The sequence below is a fragment of the Homo sapiens genome, chromosome 8 (assembly GCF_000001405.40).
Source record: "Homo sapiens chromosome 8, GRCh38.p14 Primary Assembly".
NCBI lineage: Eukaryota > Metazoa > Chordata > Mammalia > Primates > Hominidae > Homo > Homo sapiens.
Window position 1 is genome coordinate 9,007,456 of NC_000008.11, and position 20,973 is coordinate 9,028,428.

The 20,973-nt window shown below is 36.6% G+C and overlaps 1 protein-coding gene across 8 annotated transcripts in view, besides 1 other annotated feature; it reads left to right on the forward strand.

The window, feature by feature from the left end:
* Positions 1–20,973, forward strand: part of ERI1 (exoribonuclease 1) — a 97,208-nt gene that overhangs the window by 4,559 nt on the left and 71,676 nt on the right. For 7 of the 8 annotated variants that reach the window (NM_001354638.2, XM_047422402.1, XM_005272401.4 and 4 more), the window contains 5 exons: positions 515–693; positions 4,087–4,297; positions 8,867–8,950; positions 10,842–10,951; positions 12,895–13,009. In NM_001354638.2, the coding sequence (NP_001341567.1) occupies positions 515–693; positions 4,087–4,297; positions 8,867–8,950; positions 10,842–10,951; positions 12,895–13,009 (699 nt within the window). Of the gene's footprint in view, positions 1–514; positions 694–1,576; positions 1,756–4,086; positions 4,298–8,866; positions 8,951–10,841; positions 10,952–12,894; positions 13,010–20,973 lie in introns of all 8 variants that reach the window. The other variant, NM_001354636.2, reaches the window with a different exon arrangement.
* Positions 7,196–7,905: an enhancer, noted in NCBI's record as "OCT4-NANOG-H3K27ac hESC enhancer chr8:8872161-8872870 (GRCh37/hg19 assembly coordinates)". NCBI's record gives its function as "activates a minimal SCP1, AML or CMV promoter by ChIP-STARR-seq in naive and primed H9 embryonic stem cells {active_cell/tissue: H9 hESC(naive and primed)}" and the evidence as "EXISTENCE:reporter gene assay evidence [ECO:0000049][PMID:30033119]".

Below are 20,973 nucleotides of genomic sequence, written 5' to 3' on the forward strand. Positions count from 1 at the left end.
AGGGCTTGTTGTATAGCCTGTGATATTAATAGTTACCATTTATTAATAGCTACTGTGGGTGTAGGGGTCTGATACACATAATCTCATTTAATCTTTGTAATAATTCTGCCCAAACACTATTTACCATTACCAAATTACCATTTTATAGATAAGGAAATTGAGGATCAGAGGCTAATACGTAGCTATCCAAAGTCATGCTGCTATTTCTAGTAAATAGTCAGCTGGGGTTCTCTATTGAGGTGGTGTTGACTCCCACCACCAGTCTTCTTTTTACTTAGCTTTGTTTCCTTTGAGGAACCTCATGACTCATAATAGAGTGGGGTAAATTGTATTGGAGACGCATCTTCCTTCTTATCCTTTCCTCCGTTTAGGAGCTGCAGTGAACACTTTTCATTGAACATGTAGCATGAAGAGGCTTCAGAAGTTTGAAAGTTTGAATCTTTAAATCTGTGATGTTTGTACTAATTATAAACTACATCCTTTTTTTTTTTTTTTTTTTTTTTTTTTTTGGTAGGAAACTCAACAGTGTAAATTTGATGGCCAGGAGACAAAAGGATCCAAGTTCATTACCTCCAGTGCGAGTGACTTCAGTGACCCGGTTTACAAAGAGATTGCCATTACGAATGGCTGTATTAATAGAATGAGTAAGGAAGAACTCAGAGCTAAGCTTTCAGAATTCAAGCTTGAAACTAGGTAATTAAAAATAACTTATAAAATTATAAAAGTAGTACATGCTCATTTTAGAAAATCTTGAAAACATTGAAATATTAAAAATCATCTGTAATCCTACCGTAATGACATGATCCTATTAACAGTTCACAAAAACTAATTAACATTTTTTATGTGCAACTCTGATTATTTTTGTCTGTCTTCTAGATGATAGGACTGCTGAATCAAAGTCAAATATTTTAATGACCTACCGGCAATGTATAGGAGTCTCTGTCTTATTATGACAAGAGTGTTTTAAATTTTTTTAGTTGCTCATTTAAATGATGGATAGTTATATTAGTGAGATAGAGTATTTTTTATTTTCTTTTTGCCATTTGTATCTTTTATAAAAAGAGTTTGTTTGAAATCAGGTACAATAAATTAAAAACATTCACTTAACAGGAATATTTTTTGTTTTAATTTCTAAAAAATAATCTACAATGATCGTTTGCATTATGTTTCACTGTATATTGAGTGAGAAAACAATGCAACTTAGTCAACTGTATGTGTATTTTAATGAGATATACACATACCTAAGTTTTTAGTAATTTTTTGCGAAACAAATCACTTTACGTTCATTGGGCCATGGGGCAGAAATGGCTTTTGGAGTCCAGAAAAATACATCGATTTTTGATAAACGGTAGAACTGCCAGGCATCAAGAAAAAAAATTGCCTGTATGAAATAGGTAAAAACTCTTCCTTTTTCAAGACATCTCTGAATCATAATTCTCTTAATAGTAGTATTCTTCCTCTTTAGAGTTTCACCACTCTTCAAAAGAGCACAAATTTATTAATTTCTAGATTGTCTACATCATAATGTATGAAGAAATTTTTGACTCCTATTTCCCCGATTCTTTCTGTTATGAAGGTACAACTTGTAGCCTACAGAAGATTTTCCGAGCAAAATTTTTGTCCTTCCCAGGTGTGAAGATCAGTTGCTTACTCCTGGCTTGCGTGGGAGCTAGCGATCTAGATGTATGTTTATACGTTTATTCAACAAGCCTGTATTGAATTCTAAGTACTGCACTAGGCATTGAAGTTATAAAGGTAAATACAGATATGTTCCCCACTTTGGCAATCTCAGTCTTTTGGGAAAACATACAAAGAAATCATCACAATACAGAGTGGCCAATGCTATATTGGAGGTCTGGCCAGGTACAGCATGAGAATACAGAGGAGAATATTTCTCAGGAATTCAGAAAGATGACATTTGAATTGTGCCAAACAGAAAAGGGAGGGGGAGGGTATTTCAGGCAAAAAAATAACAGAAACTTTTCTAATTCCAGTTTGTATGGTTTCTGCAACATGATCTTGCCTTTTCTTCACCTGTTGTGCAACCAAAGTTATAGGACATAAAAGTGTATTGAGAACATGCCTTTTATTTTTTATTTTTTTGAGACAGAGTCTTGCTCTGTCGCCAGGCTGGAGTGCAGTGGTGTGATCTCGGCTCACTGCAACCTCCGACTCCTGGATTCAAGCGATTCTCGTGCCTCAGCCTCCTGAGTAGCTCGGATTACAGGCATGCACCACCATGCCTGGCTAATTTTTGTATTTTTAGTGAAGATAGGGTTTCTCCATGTTGCCCAGGCTGGTCTCGAGCTCCAGCTCAAGTGATTCACCCCCCTCCCAAAGTGCTGAGATTATAGACGTGAGCCATCTGGCTGGTTGAGGCCATGGCTTATAGTATATTTTGTCTGCAGTACACAGTATACCTCAGGAACATGTGACAATGATAGTGAAATGATAGGTTGTAGCCAAGTTGTGAAGGAACTCTATGCTGAAGTCTGCATTTTACCTCGTAAGCAGAAGGGAGCCACTGAAGATATTTAAGCAGAAAATTGGTGTTAGTGCTCAGTTCTCAAGTAAAGTAAAGAATGAATCGAAGTGTTGTGGTAATGGAGGCATTTGCCATGCTCAACGAAGCTAATGAGAGCCATAGCAGAAAGAATTAGAGAGAATCATATTCTGAATATGTTTCTGAGTTAGAATTGACAAACATGGTGAATATTTGGAAGAGCAAAGGAGATGTTAAAGATAGCAGGTTTCTATCCAGAGCAACTAGTTGTATGTTTGTCCTGCCATTAGCTTTGCAGACAACTCTGGTAAATGTAGTCTCTCCCCCTATCACACCTCCCACCCCACAACAATAACAACCAATAAAAAGATAAAAAAAGAAAGTAATCCAAAGCTGTCACATGACACAGAGGTCACTCACAGTGCCTTAATATGAAAGAGGTTAAGGATTTTCTCCGTAGGTCTTGATAATTTTGAAAATCTCAAGCAAAGAAACAATATTAAGACATTTCATCTTAAAAAAGCTAACTGGTTGATTATTACTATTTTCATGGGTAGGATTTTTTTCAGTGCTTAATTGTATTTTAGAAAGGAAAATAAAAGACTAAAAAGGTTTTTTTTAAATAGTCATTAATCAGTTAACATGATACTTTACTTGGCACTACACATTAATTATAATTTAGATCTTTTTATTTTTACTTCCATTTCATATTTGCAGGCCAATATAGGATTCATTTATATAACGCTGAAGGAAGCCTGAATGCTGGTTGCAACTTAATTTTTTGGAAAAATACATATTGTTTAAAGAATGAAGTCACCTGATCACTGTTATCTGTTAGGATGACCTTTCTCTCCTCCCCACTACTCCATTTGTGGAATGTATATTTTAAAGCTACCTATAATATTGAAATCCCCTAAATCATATTCTACCCATGATAAATTAAGAAACTTATTTCTAGTTAAGAACCTACTAGTGTGATAATGCTCCTTTGGACAGTTTACTTAGAGTGTATTCTAATTGAGTTTTCCTTGTTAAGTAGCCAACAGACATTCACCTTTATATGCTAGGCTCATAATGCTTTCATATTCATATGAATCTTTTGAGTTGACTAACCTACAAAAGCCAAAAGAAAGGAAAGAGATAATACGATATTTTCAACTTAACCCAAATTTTTATATTCTTAAGTTTATATTTTGGCCAGTGGAATAATTTTATATTAATTTCAATGTTTGTATCATATATGTTATCTTAGTATATAAGGCAGTATGACGACTGTGTTGGTAGTATATGCTGACAGTGTTTATGGTTTGAAGTACCAGTATATGTTGGAGAAAATACTGTTATATACTACTAAAATAAAAAAAGACTTGTGAAGGAAAATGTTAATGTTGTAATAAACATATTATTTTAATTAGTTCTTTGCTAACTTAGCTTTGAGTCTTGCTTTTCTTACATTTATTTTAGCTAGCATTTGCTAAATTTCGCTGTGATTGTCAGTGTTCAGCCCAGTGCCAGCAGGTGAGAGTTTTGATTCTTGACTGTAGAATTTACCTAAGTGTAACTAGTCTTCTTCTTCTACTTAGAGGAGTAAAGGATGTTCTAAAGAAGAGACTGAAAAACTATTATAAGAAGCAGAAGCTGATGCTGAAAGAGAGCAATTTTGCTGACAGTTATTATGACTACATTTGTATTATTGACTTTGAAGCCACTTGTGAAGAAGGAAACCCACCTGAGTTTGTACATGAAATAATTGAATTTCCGGTTGTTTTACTGAATACGCATACTTTAGAAATAGTAAGTGAATTTTTGTATTTTAATTGTATTTCTAGCAGCAACTATTCTGGTGTTTACTGGTTATGTGGAGGACCTCATTTGCTTTTTAGCCAGAATTAGACTTCTAAAGTAAGTTTTTTCTTTGCCATGAACTTTATATCAGCTTGATTAATAGAAAAGCTGTAACAAAGCAATTTTAGAGACTACTGCTTTCTTTTTGCAGTAGCGGAAGTTAAAATGTTGTTTTCCATTTGCTTAGAACATCTGGGTGTGGACATCAGAATCTCCTGGTAAGTAAAAAAATAAAGAAAACACTAATGATACTGATGCCTGGCCCTAGTCCCAGAGATTCTAATTTAGTTCTCTGATAGGGCCTCTGACATCAGCATTTTTTTGAAGCTTTTCAGTTGGTTTTAATATGCGGTCAGGCTTGATAACCACCACTGTGGCCTAGTGTGAACTCTGATCTCTAAGAATGATAATTTACAAAAATGACTTTTGAACCTCTCTCTCTGGTGGAAAGTTTAAGGGTGAAATGACTCATATAACCCTGGTTTCTAAGCCAAATAATATGTGTGCTTTAGATACTTGTCAGTGCTTTATTAGTTAAGAAAGTCTAGTAGGAATTCCCTAAAATAATACTGTTTACCTTATAAAATCTGAGCAAGAATATCCTAACATCTCAACTTTCCAAAAGTCACTTCTGTGATATCCTCAGTTGCTACCAACCCACTTGGGAGTAAGTATAAAAAGGTTTTGTGAATTAAAATGCATAGGTTATTAGTGCTATTCAAAATCTCTTTTAGTTATAGTCTTAGCCTATTTCTATAATTTTCTTATCCAAAGCAGATTGAAGGTCAGTAAATTAGAAGGAAAAATGGCAGCTATGAAGGCAAATAATCTTGCATAAGTCACTAGATTTTACTTCTCTCTTACTCAAGGACGTTACTGTAGCAGTTCTCCCTCATTTGGACATTATGATTTATTGCTTTTGTCTATATTGCTCCCACTACACAAAAACATGTTATATTTTTCACACTGTGTAAAAACTTCATCCCACTTCACTGCCAGCTACTGCATTTCTTTGTTCCTCTTTTTGGGAAAATTCTTCACTTAAGTTATAGGTACTTATATGTTTATCTCTTTCCTTTTCTTCCATTCTCTCAAATTTATACCATAACCTTCAATAAAGTTTAAGCTGTGTATTCAATCCCATCATTCCACTAAAATCACTCATCAACATCATCTTTGACCTTTACCCTAACTCCTGGCAAAATTGACCATTCTCACTTTTTTTTTTCTTTTTTAAGATAGAGTCTTGTACCCAGACTTGAGTGCAGTGGTGCAAACCCAGCTGACTGCAACCTCCACCTCCTGGGTTCGAGCAGCTCTCCTGCCTCAGCCTCCTGAGTAGCTGGGAATACAGGTGTGTGTCACCACGCCCGGCTAATTTTTTGTATTTTAGTAGAGACAGGGTTTCATCATGTTGCGCAGGCTGGTTTCAAACTCCTGAGCTCAGGCAATCCACCTGCCTCAGGTTCCCCAAGTGCTAGGATTACAGGCGTGAGCCACCATGCCCGGCCATTCTCACTTAAAAAAAAAAAAAAAAAAAATTAACACTGCACTGCTGGCTTGAATACTCTTTCCTTGGAGCATTTTCTTCAGGTATAACTTGTTCTGCTTGATTTTTCTCCAGCCCTACTGGATTCCCCACTTGCAGTTTTCTTTGCTGGTTCCTCCTTTCCTTCCCAGCTTCCCCGTATCAGATGACCCAGGTCTCAATCCTAGCCCCCGTTCTCTGCTTACATCCTCTTCTCTGCTTACATCCTTTCGCTTGATGATCTTATCTAGTTCCATAGCTTTCAGAAGCTGTCTCTTTGCTGGTGACTTTCAAATACATATTTCCAACCCGTTCCAAATCCAGATTGCTTATTTGAAATCTCTGCTTAAGTGTCTCAACCTTTTGAACTTACCCCAGCCCATTCTATCTTTAGCCTCCTGTAGCCTGGGGGATGGCAGCTTTTTCTAATTAGAATCCTTCTAATTGCTCAGTTCAAAAACTTTGGAGTCATCTTTGACTCTTGTTTCTCTCACATCCAGGTCATCAATGATTCCTGTTTGGCTCTGCCTTCAAAATATATCCAGAACCCAGTCACTTAACTGAACTGCTGTGACTTCATTCTGATCCTCTATCATTTATGTGACTTACTGCATTCGCCACCTAACTGGTCTTTGTGTTTCTGTCTGTGTCCGCCTACAACCAGTTCTCAAAAAACTGGCCAGAGTAATCCTTTTAAAATACAAGTCATTTCACCCCTCTGCTCAAAACCCTGCAATGGCTCCTCATTTAACTCAGAGTACAACCAATATTCCTTACATGACCTGGCCTATTGTTTCCTCTGATTGTTTCCTGTCTTACTACTCTTTTCCTTAACTCATTCCACTCCAGGCATACTGACCTGCTTGCTCATTCTCAAAAATGCCAGGCATGCTTTATCCCATTACTTGCCAGGACTTTAGCTCCAGTTTTCTTAGCCAGAAGTCTTGCTGGCTGATGTTTTTCTCCTTCTCTCCCTCCCTCCCGTTTTTCCTTCCAGTCCTTCCTTAAATCTTACCTCTAAATAAAGCCTACTTGATTATCCTATTTAAGAGTGTGGCCTGTGCCCATGTTTCTGACCCCCCTTACTGCTCTACTTTCCTTTGCTTGCTCAAGGGAGTCTCCTACTTTATCTTCCTGAGTAGCTGGGATTACAGGCACCCAGGTTCCTTTAGTTTTAATAACCCTTACTACCTTTTAACTTACCTAATTTATTTAAGTGATGATTAAAGATTTGGCCAATGAATGTATAGTTCTCTCTAGCATTCTTCTGTTAAAAGTATTTAGTAGCGAATAACATTTTAGTAATATCTGTTATTTAGTACTACCGAATTATAATTATAAGGGAAGTTGCAATATATTTTTGAAAGAATGTCATTTAGAATGATAAAATAGTGATACTTAAAAGGATATAGACTTAATTTATCTGTGATATGCAGTTAAGTGGAATGTTGCAGTGTATCCGGTAAGAGTGTCTAACTTTTGAAGTTCAATTATTCTTTTGTTTTGTTTTGTTTTGTTTTTTTTGAGATGGAGTCTTGCTTTGTCACCCAGGCTGGAGAGCAGTGGCTCAATCTCGGCTCACTGCAACCTCTGCCTCCTGGGTTCAAGCGATTATCCCACCTCAGCTCCTTGAGTAGTTGGAACTATACGTGCATGCCACCTCGCCCAGCTAATTTTTGTATTTTTAGTAGAGACAGGTTTCACCACTTCGGCCAGGCTGGTCTTGAACTCCTGACCTCAAGTAATCCACCCCCCTTGGCCTCCCAGAGTGCTGGGATTACAGGCATTAGTCACCACATCTGGCCTCAGGTGTTCTTTTTTGTTCTTTACTGTTGCTCATTTACAATTCTTTACAACCATTTATAGCTCATCCACTTAATAGATTAGTAGGTAGAAAGAATTTATTCTTAGGAAATACAAACTTTTCTTAATTTTTAAATCTTCTGCCATGAAGAATATTTTTTGTCATTTTCTCTATATCTACTACCTAGGATTAACAGTTGCTGCCTTTAAATCTTTAGGGTTTAAAATTGTCCTTAATCTCAAAATTGACTCAGTGTGTTCTGGTTAGGGAGGCATTACTGGCTAGAGGAAAAAGCACTTAGAGATCGGAGCCTGATAACAATACTGGCCTCACTTAGTTTACAGAGTTGTGAGCATAAAATAAGACCATCGTGTCAGGAGATCGAGACCATCCTGGCTAACATGGTGAAACCCAGTCTCTACTAAAAATACAAAAGATCAGCCAGGCGTGGTGGCAGGCGTCTGTAGTCCCAGCTAGTTGGGAGGCTGAGGCAGGAGAATGGCGTGAACCTGGGAGGCGGAGCTTGCAGTGAGCCGAGATTGTGGCAGTGCACTCCAGCCTGGGAGACAGAGCGAGACTCTGTCTCCAAAAAAAAAAAAAAAAAAAGAGACCATCGTGAAAGCTTCTTGAAAAGATTCAACATTACTGTAGATACACAGTGTTAGCAACTCTTAAACTACCTATATATCATACAGTTAAATTTTGACTATTTAGAATTTAGTTCAATTGGATTTTTATATGAAAATAAAGACTATTCAGGAGTAAATGAGAGAAAAATAGTTTAAAGCTAATTTATTATAACTGCAGGCTGGCATTTCTTCAAAAGAATTTATTATTTTTAAAACTTAGTATCTTGAAGTAGAGGATGCATTAATGCGCTTTATAGTTTTAAAATATTATGAACAAAATTATTAATATTTTGTTCCTCAGGAAAATAATTAAATTTTGGGTTGAAATCTTTCACACACTCACTTTATCGTAAAATATTTTAAATTATGAATCAATTCATTTTTTAATTTAAAAATTAAGAGTGCTTTCGATGTGGGGAATTATTCTTAAAAACTGGAAGGGTTTATGCCGTGAGATCCTATGAAATTGCAACCTGCTGTGATGAATTCGTCGTGTATCATGTATCGTGTATCTTAACTCATATAAATTACTTTAACTTGCTATCCTTCCCTTGCAGGAAGACACGTTTCAGCAGTATGTAAGACCAGAGATTAACACACAGCTGTCTGATTTCTGCATCAGTCTAACTGGAATTACTCAGGTTATAATTCTAAGTTCTTCTTTCTAGAGTTTGAAAGAGTTCTTGAAATTAGGGATTTATTTTATACATAATTTAAAAAAATTATTACTGTTGTGAACAATTTAATACCTTGCTTGGTAAAGATCTTTCATGTTGTAATAATTAAAAAAAAAAAAACAGCAAATTTTATATCTGGTAACATTTTCCTCAGCCTTTCCTCTTAAGGAGTTGTAGTGGTGAATCGAAAGATTTCGTCTGTAAAATGCATCAGCAAATTGTTTCCATACTGAACTTGGAGATGTTTGATTTATTTATTTTTTTGAGACAGTCTCACTCTGTCACCCAGGCTTGAGTACAGTGGCGTGACCTCGGCTCACTGCAGCCTCTGCCTCCTGGGCTCAAGCGATTCTCCTGCCTCAACCTCCTGAGTAACTGGGACTACAGGCGCGTTGCCACCACACCCGGCTAATTTTTTTATTTTTAGTAGAGACCTGGTTTCGCCATATTGGCCAGGCTGGTCTCGAACACCTAACCTCAAGTGTCCCGCCTCGGCCTGCCAAAGTGCTGGGATTACAGACGTGAGCCACCATGCCCAGCCAGAGATAAGTTTTAGAATGTATCTGTTTACAACCTGACTTTATATTTTGCATTTATTTTTTATTTTTATTTTTTTGAGATGGAGTCTCACTCTGTTGCCCAGGCTGGAGTGCAGTGGCACGATCTTGGCTCACTGCAACCTCTGCCTCCCAGGTTCAAGCGATTCTCCTGCCTCAGCCTCCCAAGTAGCTGAGACTATAGGCACACACCACGATGATTGGCTAATTTTTTTTTTATTTTTAGTAGAGACGGGTTTCACTGTGTTGGCCAAGGTGGTCTTGAAGAACTCCTGACGTCAAGCCCTCCTCGGTCCCAAAAAGTGTTGGGATTACGGGCATGAGCCACCACACCTAGCCTGTTTCATGAATTTTTAGGTCTCTGATTTTTTATTGTATTCTAATGTGGTAGGCACTTTTTTCATTTAGTTAGTTCATTCATTCACTCCACGTGTATTTGAGTGCCTACTATAATATATGCCAGCATTTGTATATATCTTTATGTGTATATAGACGTATGTCTGTGCAGTGGTCACAGTAGGCCTAATAAGTCAGTGTTTTATTGCGGTGTTGTGGACATCTATGAAAAGGGCTTCCATATATGACAGAGGGAATAGAAGACTGTCCTGGGGAAAAACATCCTCAAGTTGATGAACTTGGGCTGAGTCATGAAAGATAGGTAGGCAGAAAAGAATGGCTGGGCATTTCAGGTGGGAACTGGCAGACCTACAGGTAGTTCAGGATGGTTCAGATGTGTATGGACTGTTAAGAAAATGGTCCAGATAGGCAGAGGCAATCCAGATCCTGAAGGGTCTTGTGCATCTATTTGTCCTGAAAGCCTTGGAGAGTGGTTGGAGGATTTAAGTATGAGAGTGATAGGGCGGACCCGATTTACGTTTTAGGAAGATCAGTCTGGCAGCAGTATGTAGTATGCGTGGAAAATTGTGAGACCTGAGATGGGAAGACACTTAGGGAGCTGTGGCTTTCAGCTTAGAAGAGATTTCTCTTTTCCCTCCTCTAGAAATCCAGTAAGCCGCTAGGTTCAGGCCTATAAAAAGAGAACCACTGGGGATGATCTTAAATCTTAATTTTGGGAGGATTATACTTTTCAGTTGAAAGTAGTCCCAGTACTTGGTTATGAAATTTTTAGAATTTCTTAAAAATGAAACTTTAGGTGGAGCTAAGCCAAGGAAACCATGAATTTAAAGTATCAGCCTTTCTCATACTGTTTCTTCCCCTCCAACTTAGGTCTGGGTATTTTGTAGGTCTACGTGAAGCTGCAGCCCTGATTTTTGTATATTTTACTTTTATATCCTCAGGATCAGGTAGACAGAGCTGATACCTTCCCTCAGGTACTAAAAAAAGTAATTGACTGGATGAAATTGAAGGAATTAGGAACAAAGTATAAATACTCACTTTTAACAGATGGGTAAGTATTTAGGAAGATTATTTTTTTATATCTACTTTTTAAAGATTAAAGATACCCTTATTTATCTGATTTTTAGAATAACCACAAACTATTATTAGAGACCCTAGAGTCTCACCCCACAGGGAATAGTATTTTTCCTTTCACCTAAGGATGAAAGAGAGGAAGAAAACAGTGGTCACAGTCCAATACAGGACTAGAACACTACAGAAAGTTAAAAATATGTAAAGCTAAAAAGACTTTGCTAAAACTCTGTTTTTTCATGACACTTCCTTACTCAAAAAAGTTCAGACTCTTGAGCTTGGCCTTGAAGCCTCTTTCCTCTCATCCCACGCTACCTGTTTAATCTAATTCACCTGCCATTAATCCTCTTTAGTCAGACTGGCCCAGGAATTCACATGGTTTACCCTTTCTCTGTGTAGTTACTTATGCCTCCCTCTGTACTGAGAGTGTCTTCTCGACAACTTTATCATTTTTCAAAGCCCATCTTGTGTTTTACCCTGACAACGCCATTGATCTTTTTTTTCCTTGAAACCTTATAATTTCTATGGTATATACCATTCATGTTGACATCTGACCATATATTCTGATATATAATCTTTGTGTACATACATAAGACTTACTTTTGCAAGGAAATCTAAAATTCTTTCAGAGAAGGACTTTTGCTGCCTAATAATCTTCCATAATGCTTACCTTAGTGCTGAGCTTAAAGTGTATGCCCAAAAAGCATTTGTTAAATGAAAAGCTAAATGGGAAGATCAGAAAGATTAAAACATAGATGACAGACGTTGTGCCAGGGCAACTCCGATACCTTAAGGCCATTAAGGTTGAAAAGAACGTCCTAAACAACTTCTGTTTCAAACTGTGCAGGTTATCCTCTATACCTGAGATGTCACCAACATAGAGGGTTTGGAGATCCTCACATGTGATAGGAGAAAAGCATTGAATTTAATCACATCATAACTGTTAAGTTTGGAAAAATGTTTATGGACCTCTTTAGAAATCCATTACTGATTTTAAACATGAATGAGCAGTGCTCTGCTAAAGTATACAGGTGTTTCTGCTGTAGTATAGTATACGCAGTTCTGGTAAAGTCTCATTTTGTGGGACAGATCACTCAAAACCTATGCAATTTTGTAACAAGAGCACTAACAAAAACCAATCATTAGAGTCTCCATTAATAATTTGGCAGCCCAGGCAAGCAGCTCAGGGAAGGTGAGGTTGCGTCAAAGTATATGAAAATTGTACAGAAGCACTAGTGTCCTGGGGACATACACTTATTTTTAATTTTCTTATAATATAGTTGACAGTATTATAAGAAAATACAAAGGATTATATCCTGTTCCCAGTATAGCAGCTGAGTTGAGGGCTTTTCTTATTTCCTGCTGAAGTTTATAATTTCCACTGCTATTATTCTGACTCTCCTTGCCTAAGAAAAACCACGTAGGAACCAACACAATTTCCATATTACACAATCAGTATTGTCCTTAACTACAATAAATTGGTTAGTGTTATAGAAAAATGTTGTAGCAGAACAGATTGTATTTTAACCATTTGATACCAGCTGCTTTTGTTTCTTTCATTTTTTTGTTTTTGGTTTTATTTCAAAGCATGCTGTCAACTTACCATGCTAAGTCTGGCAGTAAAAGTAAGCTTAGCATAATACTCAGCAAGATAGAAGCCTGCCCAGAACCATGAAAACAATCAAGATGAGCCTAATAGGAATTAGTTTGTGAACAAAAGTTAATATATCCGACTTCTTTGTTTGGTTTTTAAAGCTTAATTTTGAATTAGTATTTTGTAGGAAGCAAGGTTAATTTTCTCAGCTTGATGTTACATTTGAATATGAGAAAGTTGACATATATAAATAAATGATTTAAAATACTCATTTGTAAGAATAGCATAGCGTTTATTTCATCAATTTTTTGTCCTTTTTTAATTTATAGTTCTTGGGATATGAGTAAGTTCTTGAACATTCAGTGTCAACTCAGCAGGCTCAAATACCCTCCTTTTGCGAAAAAGTGGATCAATATTCGGAAGTCATATGGAAATTTTTACAAGGTAAAATTTCTATATTTAATAATTACGTGGTTCTTAATGATAAATTTGTTAAAATTTGCATGTACGTTAGATTGTAATTTTCCAGGTGTTTTTCATGGAAAAAAGCCATATAATTAGTTCTTACTCTTCAGATTCCAAATTCCTTATGTTCAAATTAGATAAGCCTTTTTCTCATTCAACCTGTTAACTTTATTTAAGTAGGTTAACTATATATACCTGACAAGTTTGAAACTGTAGGGGCAGTCAGTATGTGGATTGTTCATGGAGCAAATGCTCCCCACTAGATTTTAATTTTACTTCACATTTATCAAAGTTAATATGCGTGTGCCGTGTAAATGTTTAAAATATTATTGCAAGACTTACAATGAATGGCAGTCTTCTGCCATAGCCTTCACCAGAACTGGTTCCTGTTCTGAGGCAAACACTTTCAACTTATGTAAAGCTCTGTTTTTGTTTTTGTTTTTGTTTTTTTTCAAATATTTACCTTTGTATTTCTAAGTTTCATGCTTATACTACTTCTTGACTTTTCAGTTTGCGATCTATTGAATTCCTGCCCTGAAAGATCAAGATTGAGTTCAATTAAGTTACCACTCCTGCTTGTCCTTCCCTTCCTGCATCTTCCTACTATAGCTCTATTACCTTTCAGTCAGAGCACTCAGTGTTCATACTCCCGTGACTATGGAGAGTGTCCACAACTTTCCCCTGGATGTAATAATTTACTTCCGCGGTTGTTTACTTATCCCCTTACTCTCCATTCAAACTGTAAGTCACTTCTTATGACTGAGAACACTCAGGTAGTCTGTCAGGTTTTCTTTTTTCATCTGTTTTTCCCTTGCAGACTATCTTCCTGGAGCCTTTAATCCTGTTCTAATCTGAACTGTTAGTTCTTCAGGCTTCTTTTAAAATCATCTTAGGGGATTTCCTTTAATTCTCATGCATTAGATACTATGTCATTTTTCTCCCTTTACAGTTTCATTTTGGAGAAGCATGTTCTAAAGTAGTTTCATGAGAAAAGGTGCTTTTCCTTACAGACTCTTCTGTTTTAACAGTCTTTTAAAACTGAGAAGTATGCATGCAGAAAAGTAGAGTTTTGCCGATTGCTATAAAGCAAATACCCTTGTAACTTCCACCCACTTAACTCCCTTCCTTCCTCCTGGAGTTAACCCTAATTCTTCCTTTCATGGTAATCATTTTCTTATTATTCCTTATAGCTTTAGTATTTAAATGTATATCCTTATATTATATAGTTTTGTCTGGCTTTGAGCACGATATAATTAGTATTATACTGGCTATATTATTTGTTTTTTTTGTTTTTTTTTTTTTTTCAATATTATGCTTGAGATCCATCCACGTCTTGTATGTCACTGCAGTTCATTCACTTTATTGCTATTAATTCCATTGTGTGACTATACCAGATTTGTTTATCTGTTCTACTTTGGCTGGCCATTTGGATTGTTTTTATTTGGGGCTTCCATGAAGAGTACTTTTATAAGCATTGTTGTGCATGTCCCCTGGTGTCTGTGCACTCGTTTTTCTAAGAAAAACCTAAGAGTGCAGTTGCTGGGTCATGGGATATGTACATCATTGACATTACTAGATAATACAAAAATAGTTTTCCAATGGAATTGTACCAGTTTGCACTCTTATCAGTGCTATGTGAGTTTATAGTTACTGTAAGTTTTTGCTAGCATCTGATATTGTCATACATTTTAAATGTTTTGTAAATCTGACGGGTGTGTGATACCATCTCATTGAGGTATCAGCTATCTGGATTGCTTTTTTGCGAACCCCTTATTTAAATTTCTGACTGTTTTAAAAAAAATTGGGTAGTCTGTTTTTTCATTACCTGTGTATTTTACTGGTCTATAGATTTTTACTTTGGGTGCTAGTCCTTTGATTATATTTGATAATCTTTTTGTGTGAATTTATTTTGTTTTTTGGTTTATTTGTCTTTGAGATGAAGTCTCATTCTGTTGCCCAGGTTGGAGTGCGGTAGTGCGATCTTGGCTCACTGCAACCCTGTCTCTTGGGTTCAAGCAGTTCTCCTGTCTCAGCATCCCGAGTAGCTGGGACTACGGGCGCCCACAACCACAACTGGCTAATTTTTGTATTTTCAGTAGAGACGGGGTTTCGCCATGTTGGTGAGGCTGGTCTCGAACTCCTGGACTCAAATGATCTGCCCGCCTCGGCCTCCCAAAGTGCTGGGATTATAGGCGTGAGCCACTGCACCTGGCCTTTTGTGGATCTTTTTTTGTGTTTTTGAACTCATTTTGTGAATTTTTTTAAAAATTGTGTTATGGAAAATTTCAAACATAACAGAAATAGGTATGAGTCCTCATGACCCAGGTTCAACAATTAGAAACTCATGGCCAGTCATGTTTCATGTGTATCCCCACCCACTTTCCTCTTCCTTATTATTTTGAGGCAGAAGTCAGACATTATGTTATCTGATCTGTAAAAATTTCATTACGTAGCTCCAAAAGCTAAGGGTCATTTTCTTAGAAACACAGCTACCATACCATTGTGACATCTTAAAAAATTAGCAGTAATTCCTTCATCAAATAGTCATAAATATTTTCTTTTACCTTTTGTGTGTTGAGTCAGATCAGGATAAGGTTCACAGATTTGTAGTTGGTTAATATGTCTCTTAAGTTTTTTAGTCTTTGATATGTTTGGTATGTTAATACATCTCTTTAGTTTTTTTTAATCTCTTCTTTTTCTTCCCTAGCAGTTTATTTTACTTTATTCTTTTAAGAAACTGAGTCATTTGTCCTGTTGTGTTTCCCCTTATCTGGATTTTGTAATCATATCCTGGAATGTGGTTTCAGAGGTGTCTCTGTCTTTTGTATTTCATGTCAGTTTATACTCCAGTTGAGAAGCTCGATCCCCTTTAGGTTCTTTTTTTGCTACAACTCCCAGATGGAATAATTTTTATTATTAAAAATTAATAAACCTTAAAATAATTTTCAGTCAGTTATGCATAAATCTACAGCTCACAGTATATTAGTGTAATCGGAAAGTTGTAGATATTATAAGGCAATAAAATGCTCCCTCCTTTTTTGAGTAAACAGTGGTTTCTCTTTGTGCACCTGTTTATTTTGGCCAGTTTGTTAGCCTGCTCTTTTTGTGTGTGGTTTTCCCCTCTTCGTAATAGATAACTATAATGCAATTAGTTGTATAAGTAGAAGAAACTTATGTTTTCCTTCTTTTTTTGTACCTTATCTAAGACCTAAATAAAACTCTCTGTCACAAGTTTCTGCTGTATATAATGCTAATAAGGTATATTATATGGTATGTCTAAAAACATTTTTTTTTTAAGTAAAAATGACTTTTTTTTTTTTTTTTTTTTTTTGAGGCGGAGTCTCACTCTGTCTCCCAAGCTGGAGTGCAGTGGCATGATCTCAGCTCACTGCAGCCTCTGCCTCCCGGGTTCAAGCAGTTCTCCTGCCTCAGCCTCCCGAGTAGCTGGGATTACAGGCATGTGCCACCACGTCTGGCTGATTTTTTTGTATTTTTTAGTAGAGACGGGGTTTCACCATATTAGCCAGGCTGGTCTTGAAGTCCCAACCTTGTGATCCGCACACCTTGGCCGTCCAAAGTGCTGGAATTATAGGCATGAGCCATTGCGCCTGGCCAAAAATGACCTTCTATCCAGTCTTTCTTGGGGGCAAAGGGTGGAAATGGGTAATTAAACTTGGAGCTTAATTTAAAAGGCAAATAACTGTAATACATTTCTGTGAAATAATTCGCTTAGGATGGGACTTGGTTTTTCTAAAAGTAGGCTGAAACAATATAAATAAAAATACAGTTTAAGACAGATTTTTGTATAAGATTTTGGGGGAAATCCCAAACTTTCTTTGTGCGTGGCATATCAAGCGCAAATGTGGAGTTAGCATTTACAAAATTATACAGCTGTTTCTTTTTGCTTTTCTCTTCTTTTTTCTCTTTTCTTTTCTTTTCTTTTCTTTTCTTTCAAGACGGAATCTCACTCTGTCATCCAGCCTGGAGTGCAGTGGTGGGGTCTCAGTTCACTGCAACCTGCGCCTCCTGGGTTCAATCAATTCTCCTGCCTCAGCGTCTCAAGTAGCTGAGATTACAGGTGCCTCCCACCATGCCTGGACTAATTTTATTGTATTTTTAGTAGAGACTGGCTTTCACTATGTTGGCCAGGCTGGTTTTGAACTCCTGACCTCAAATGATCTGCCCCCCCTCGGCCTCCTAAAGTGCTAGGATTACAGGCATGAGCCACCAGGCCCAGCCTCTTTATGTTTTTATAGGCCTATGTATATGCATTACAATGCTGTTGTTGAAGTAAAAGGAAAGGATGAAATACACCTCTTGACTGTAAAATGTGTTTTCTTTTTTTTTGTCCTCCCTTTACAAATACTCAATTTTAGATTGAATTTAAGATAAGCTCACATGGATTCTTTTTCTCAGGAAATTAGACAATTTCTGCCTTTGCTCTTCATGCATGTTAAAAAAAAAAGCTTGCTTACACATGTAGAAAGTTGAAAGTGCAGTGAAGTGTTACTGCTTTCAAATGAATGACAGGATACTTTGCAGAAATCCACAACTTTTCTGGGGGTAGAGCGTTAAGTCTGTCTCTGGTGTACAGTCAGATTGTACCTATAAAGCTCTTTTCTTGAAGTCAGATTCTCAGGCTGAGCAGAGATTCAGAGAAAGGATCCCTTACCTAATCATATGCTGGTGTTGAAAGGGAGGAAAAATATTTAATTATCTCCTACAGTTTTTCCATGTGGCACTCAGACTTGAGACTTTCCAATAGCTTTCCTCACTTGATATCAAGCCCAAGCAAAAGGTGGACATTTTAAGGTTTTCTGTTGTAACATGATTATTTCCAAAGACATACTCCGTTACCTTTGAAATGCAAGAATCTTGTCACTTGAAGTCAAACATTTTCTCCAGCTTCTTATAGGGACTTGTTCAGCTGATTCATGTGATGAAAAATGTCTGTAAGGAGGCTGCGTTTTGCAGCGCTTCTTCCAACTGCTCAGCAAAATCTGGCCTTTTTGTTTTCCTCTTGTTCACCTTTCAACTCAGCCACTTGATTGAGAACTTTTCCTTGCTAAGCCAGAGGAAGCAAGAGGTTGGTTTGTTCTTTGTCTAGATTTCACATCATTTTTAAAAACACGATGAAGTGACTGGGCCTTTGTTTAATAAAGTTAATAACTCTTTTTTGGGCACTCTCTAGGACTTTTCATTTTAATCTTTTTTTTTTGTGTGTGTGTGTGTGTGTGTGTGGTTAAAATGTACATAATACAGGTTGAGTATCCCTAATTGGAAATGATTGGGACCAGAAGAAATGTTTGAGATTTGGGGTTTTTTTCAGATTTTGGAATATTTGCATATACATAATGAGATACCTTAGAGATAGGACCCAACTCTAAATATGAAATTCATTTTTGTTTCATATATACCTCATACACAGAGCCTGAAGTTAAGTTTCATACAGTTTTGTGGATGAAACAGTGTATGTACATTGAGCCATTAGAAAGCAGAACTGTCACTGTCTCAGCCACTGATATGGACAGTCTGGTTGTTTGGCATCATCTTTCCTGATGCTACCAATAAGCAATAGCTTTCTTAGTTACACATAAATTAAGCATGTGTCATGTACCTGTGTTTTGACTGCGAACCATCACATGAGGTGTGTAATCTTCCACTTGTGACGTTATGTTGGCCCTCAAAAAGTTTCGGATTTTAGAGCATTTCAGATTTTGGGTTTTTGGGATTAGGAATGCCCACCCTGTATAACACTTGTTGTTCACTTAAAAATGCTCTCAATCATTTTTAAGTGCACAACAGTTCAGTGGCATTAAGTACATTCACATTATTGCACAACCATCACCACATCATTCTCCAGAACTCTCATATTCCAAAAGTGAAACTCTGTGCCTGTTGAACTTCCCCTTCCTGCCAAACCCTGGCAATCATCATTCTTCTGTCTCTATCAGTTTGACTTATCTATATACCTCTTATAAGTGGAGGCGTACAGTATTTGATCTTTTGTGACTGGCATATTTCACTGAGCATAATGTCTTTAAAGTTCATCCATGTTGTATCATGTGTCAGAATTCTACCTTTCTGAGGCAGAATAAGAATTCATTGTATGTATTTACGGGCTGAGTATACCTAATCCAAAAATTCAATATCTGAAATGCTCCAAAAATCTGAAACTTTCTGGGCACTGACATTGTACTCAAAAGAAATTCTCATTGGAGCATTTCAGGTTTTGGAATTTTGGATTTTCGGATGAGTGATGCAAAAGTGGTGTAATGTAAATGTTGAATATTTCAAAATCCAAAAAATTTCAAATCCAAAGCACTTCTGTCCCAAGCATTTCAGATAAGGAATATTTAACCTGTACCACGTTAAAAAAAAAAAAATCCATTGATTGTTTGATGGACATTTAAGTTACTTCCATGTTTTGGCAATCATGAATAGTGCTGTTATGAACATGGATGTACAGATACCATTCTTCTTCCTGTATAACCAGAATAGGAGTTGGTGGAGCATGTGCTAATTCTATGTTTAATTTTTTTGAGGAATCTCCACATTGTTTCCCACAGTGGCTGTACCATTTTACATTCCTGCCAGCAATGCACAAAGTACTACATTCTCCACATCTCTGTCAATGCTTGTTATTTTCTGGTGTGTGTGTGTATGTGTGTGTGTGTGTGTGTGTGTGTGTGTTTATGGCCATTCTAATGGGTGTGAAGTGGTATCTCATTGTGGTTTTGATTTGTATTTCCCTAATGATTAGTGATGTTGAGCATCTTTTCATGTGATTTTTAGCCATTGGCATATCATGTTTGGAGAAATGTCTATTCAGATTCTTTCCTCATTTACTAAATGAGGTATCATGATGTTTTGAGTTGTAGGAGTTCTTTATTCTGGATATTAATTCATTATCAGATATATACTTGCAAATGTATCTTCTGTTCCATGGGTTGCCATTTCACTCTACTGATAACGTCTTTAGTAATAAGGTTTTTAATGTTGATGAAGTCTACTTTATTTTTTCTTTTGTTGCCTGTGTTTTGGTGACATCCAAGAAATCATTGTCCAATCCATTGTCATAAAGCCTTTTCCATATGTTTTATTCTAAGAATTTTATAATTGAATGTCTTACATTTAGGTCTTTGATCAATTTTAAGTTAATTTTGTTATATGGTGTAAGGTAAGGGTCCAACTTCATTCTTTTGCACGTGGATATTCAGTTTTCCCAACACCGTTTGTTGAAAAGGCTGTTGTTTTTTCCCCATTGATTCAATGTATTTGTGAAAGTTTATTTCTAGACTCTCTTCGGTTTTATTAGTTTGTATGTCTATACTAATACCACTCTCTTTCAATTACTGCACTCCTTCCTTCTGTTAATGCTTGTGTTAACATTATTTTTTAAATGTTGAGCCATCCTTGCATTTCAGGATAAAATCCTACTTGGTCATGGCACATAATTGTTTTAATATGCTGCTGATTTAAATTTGCTTATATTTTGTCAAGGATTATTGCAACATGATAATTGTAGGGGATATTGATCTGTAATTTTCTTTCCTCATGAGGTCTTTGTCAGGCTTTTGTATCAAAGTGATGCTGACCTTAATGGAATGAGTTGGGAAGTATTTCTTCTTCAATTTTTTTGTAGTAGTTTGAGGAGACTTGGTTCTAATTCTTTAAATATTTGCTTGAATTCAGCAGCAAAGCTATCTGGTTCAGCGCTTTTCTTTGTTAGAGGTTTTCAGTTACTGATTCAGTCTCCTTCCTAGGTATAGGTCTATTCCGATTTTCTGTTTCTTTGTAATTCAATTATTGTTAAGTTGTGTATTTCCAGGAATTTGTCTCTTCTACCTAAGTTATCCAGTGTGTTGGGCAAACTATTTTTAGAAGTGCGTTTTCCAAGTGATAATTAGTGGAAGGTACAGGGTATATTGCAGTATTACAGC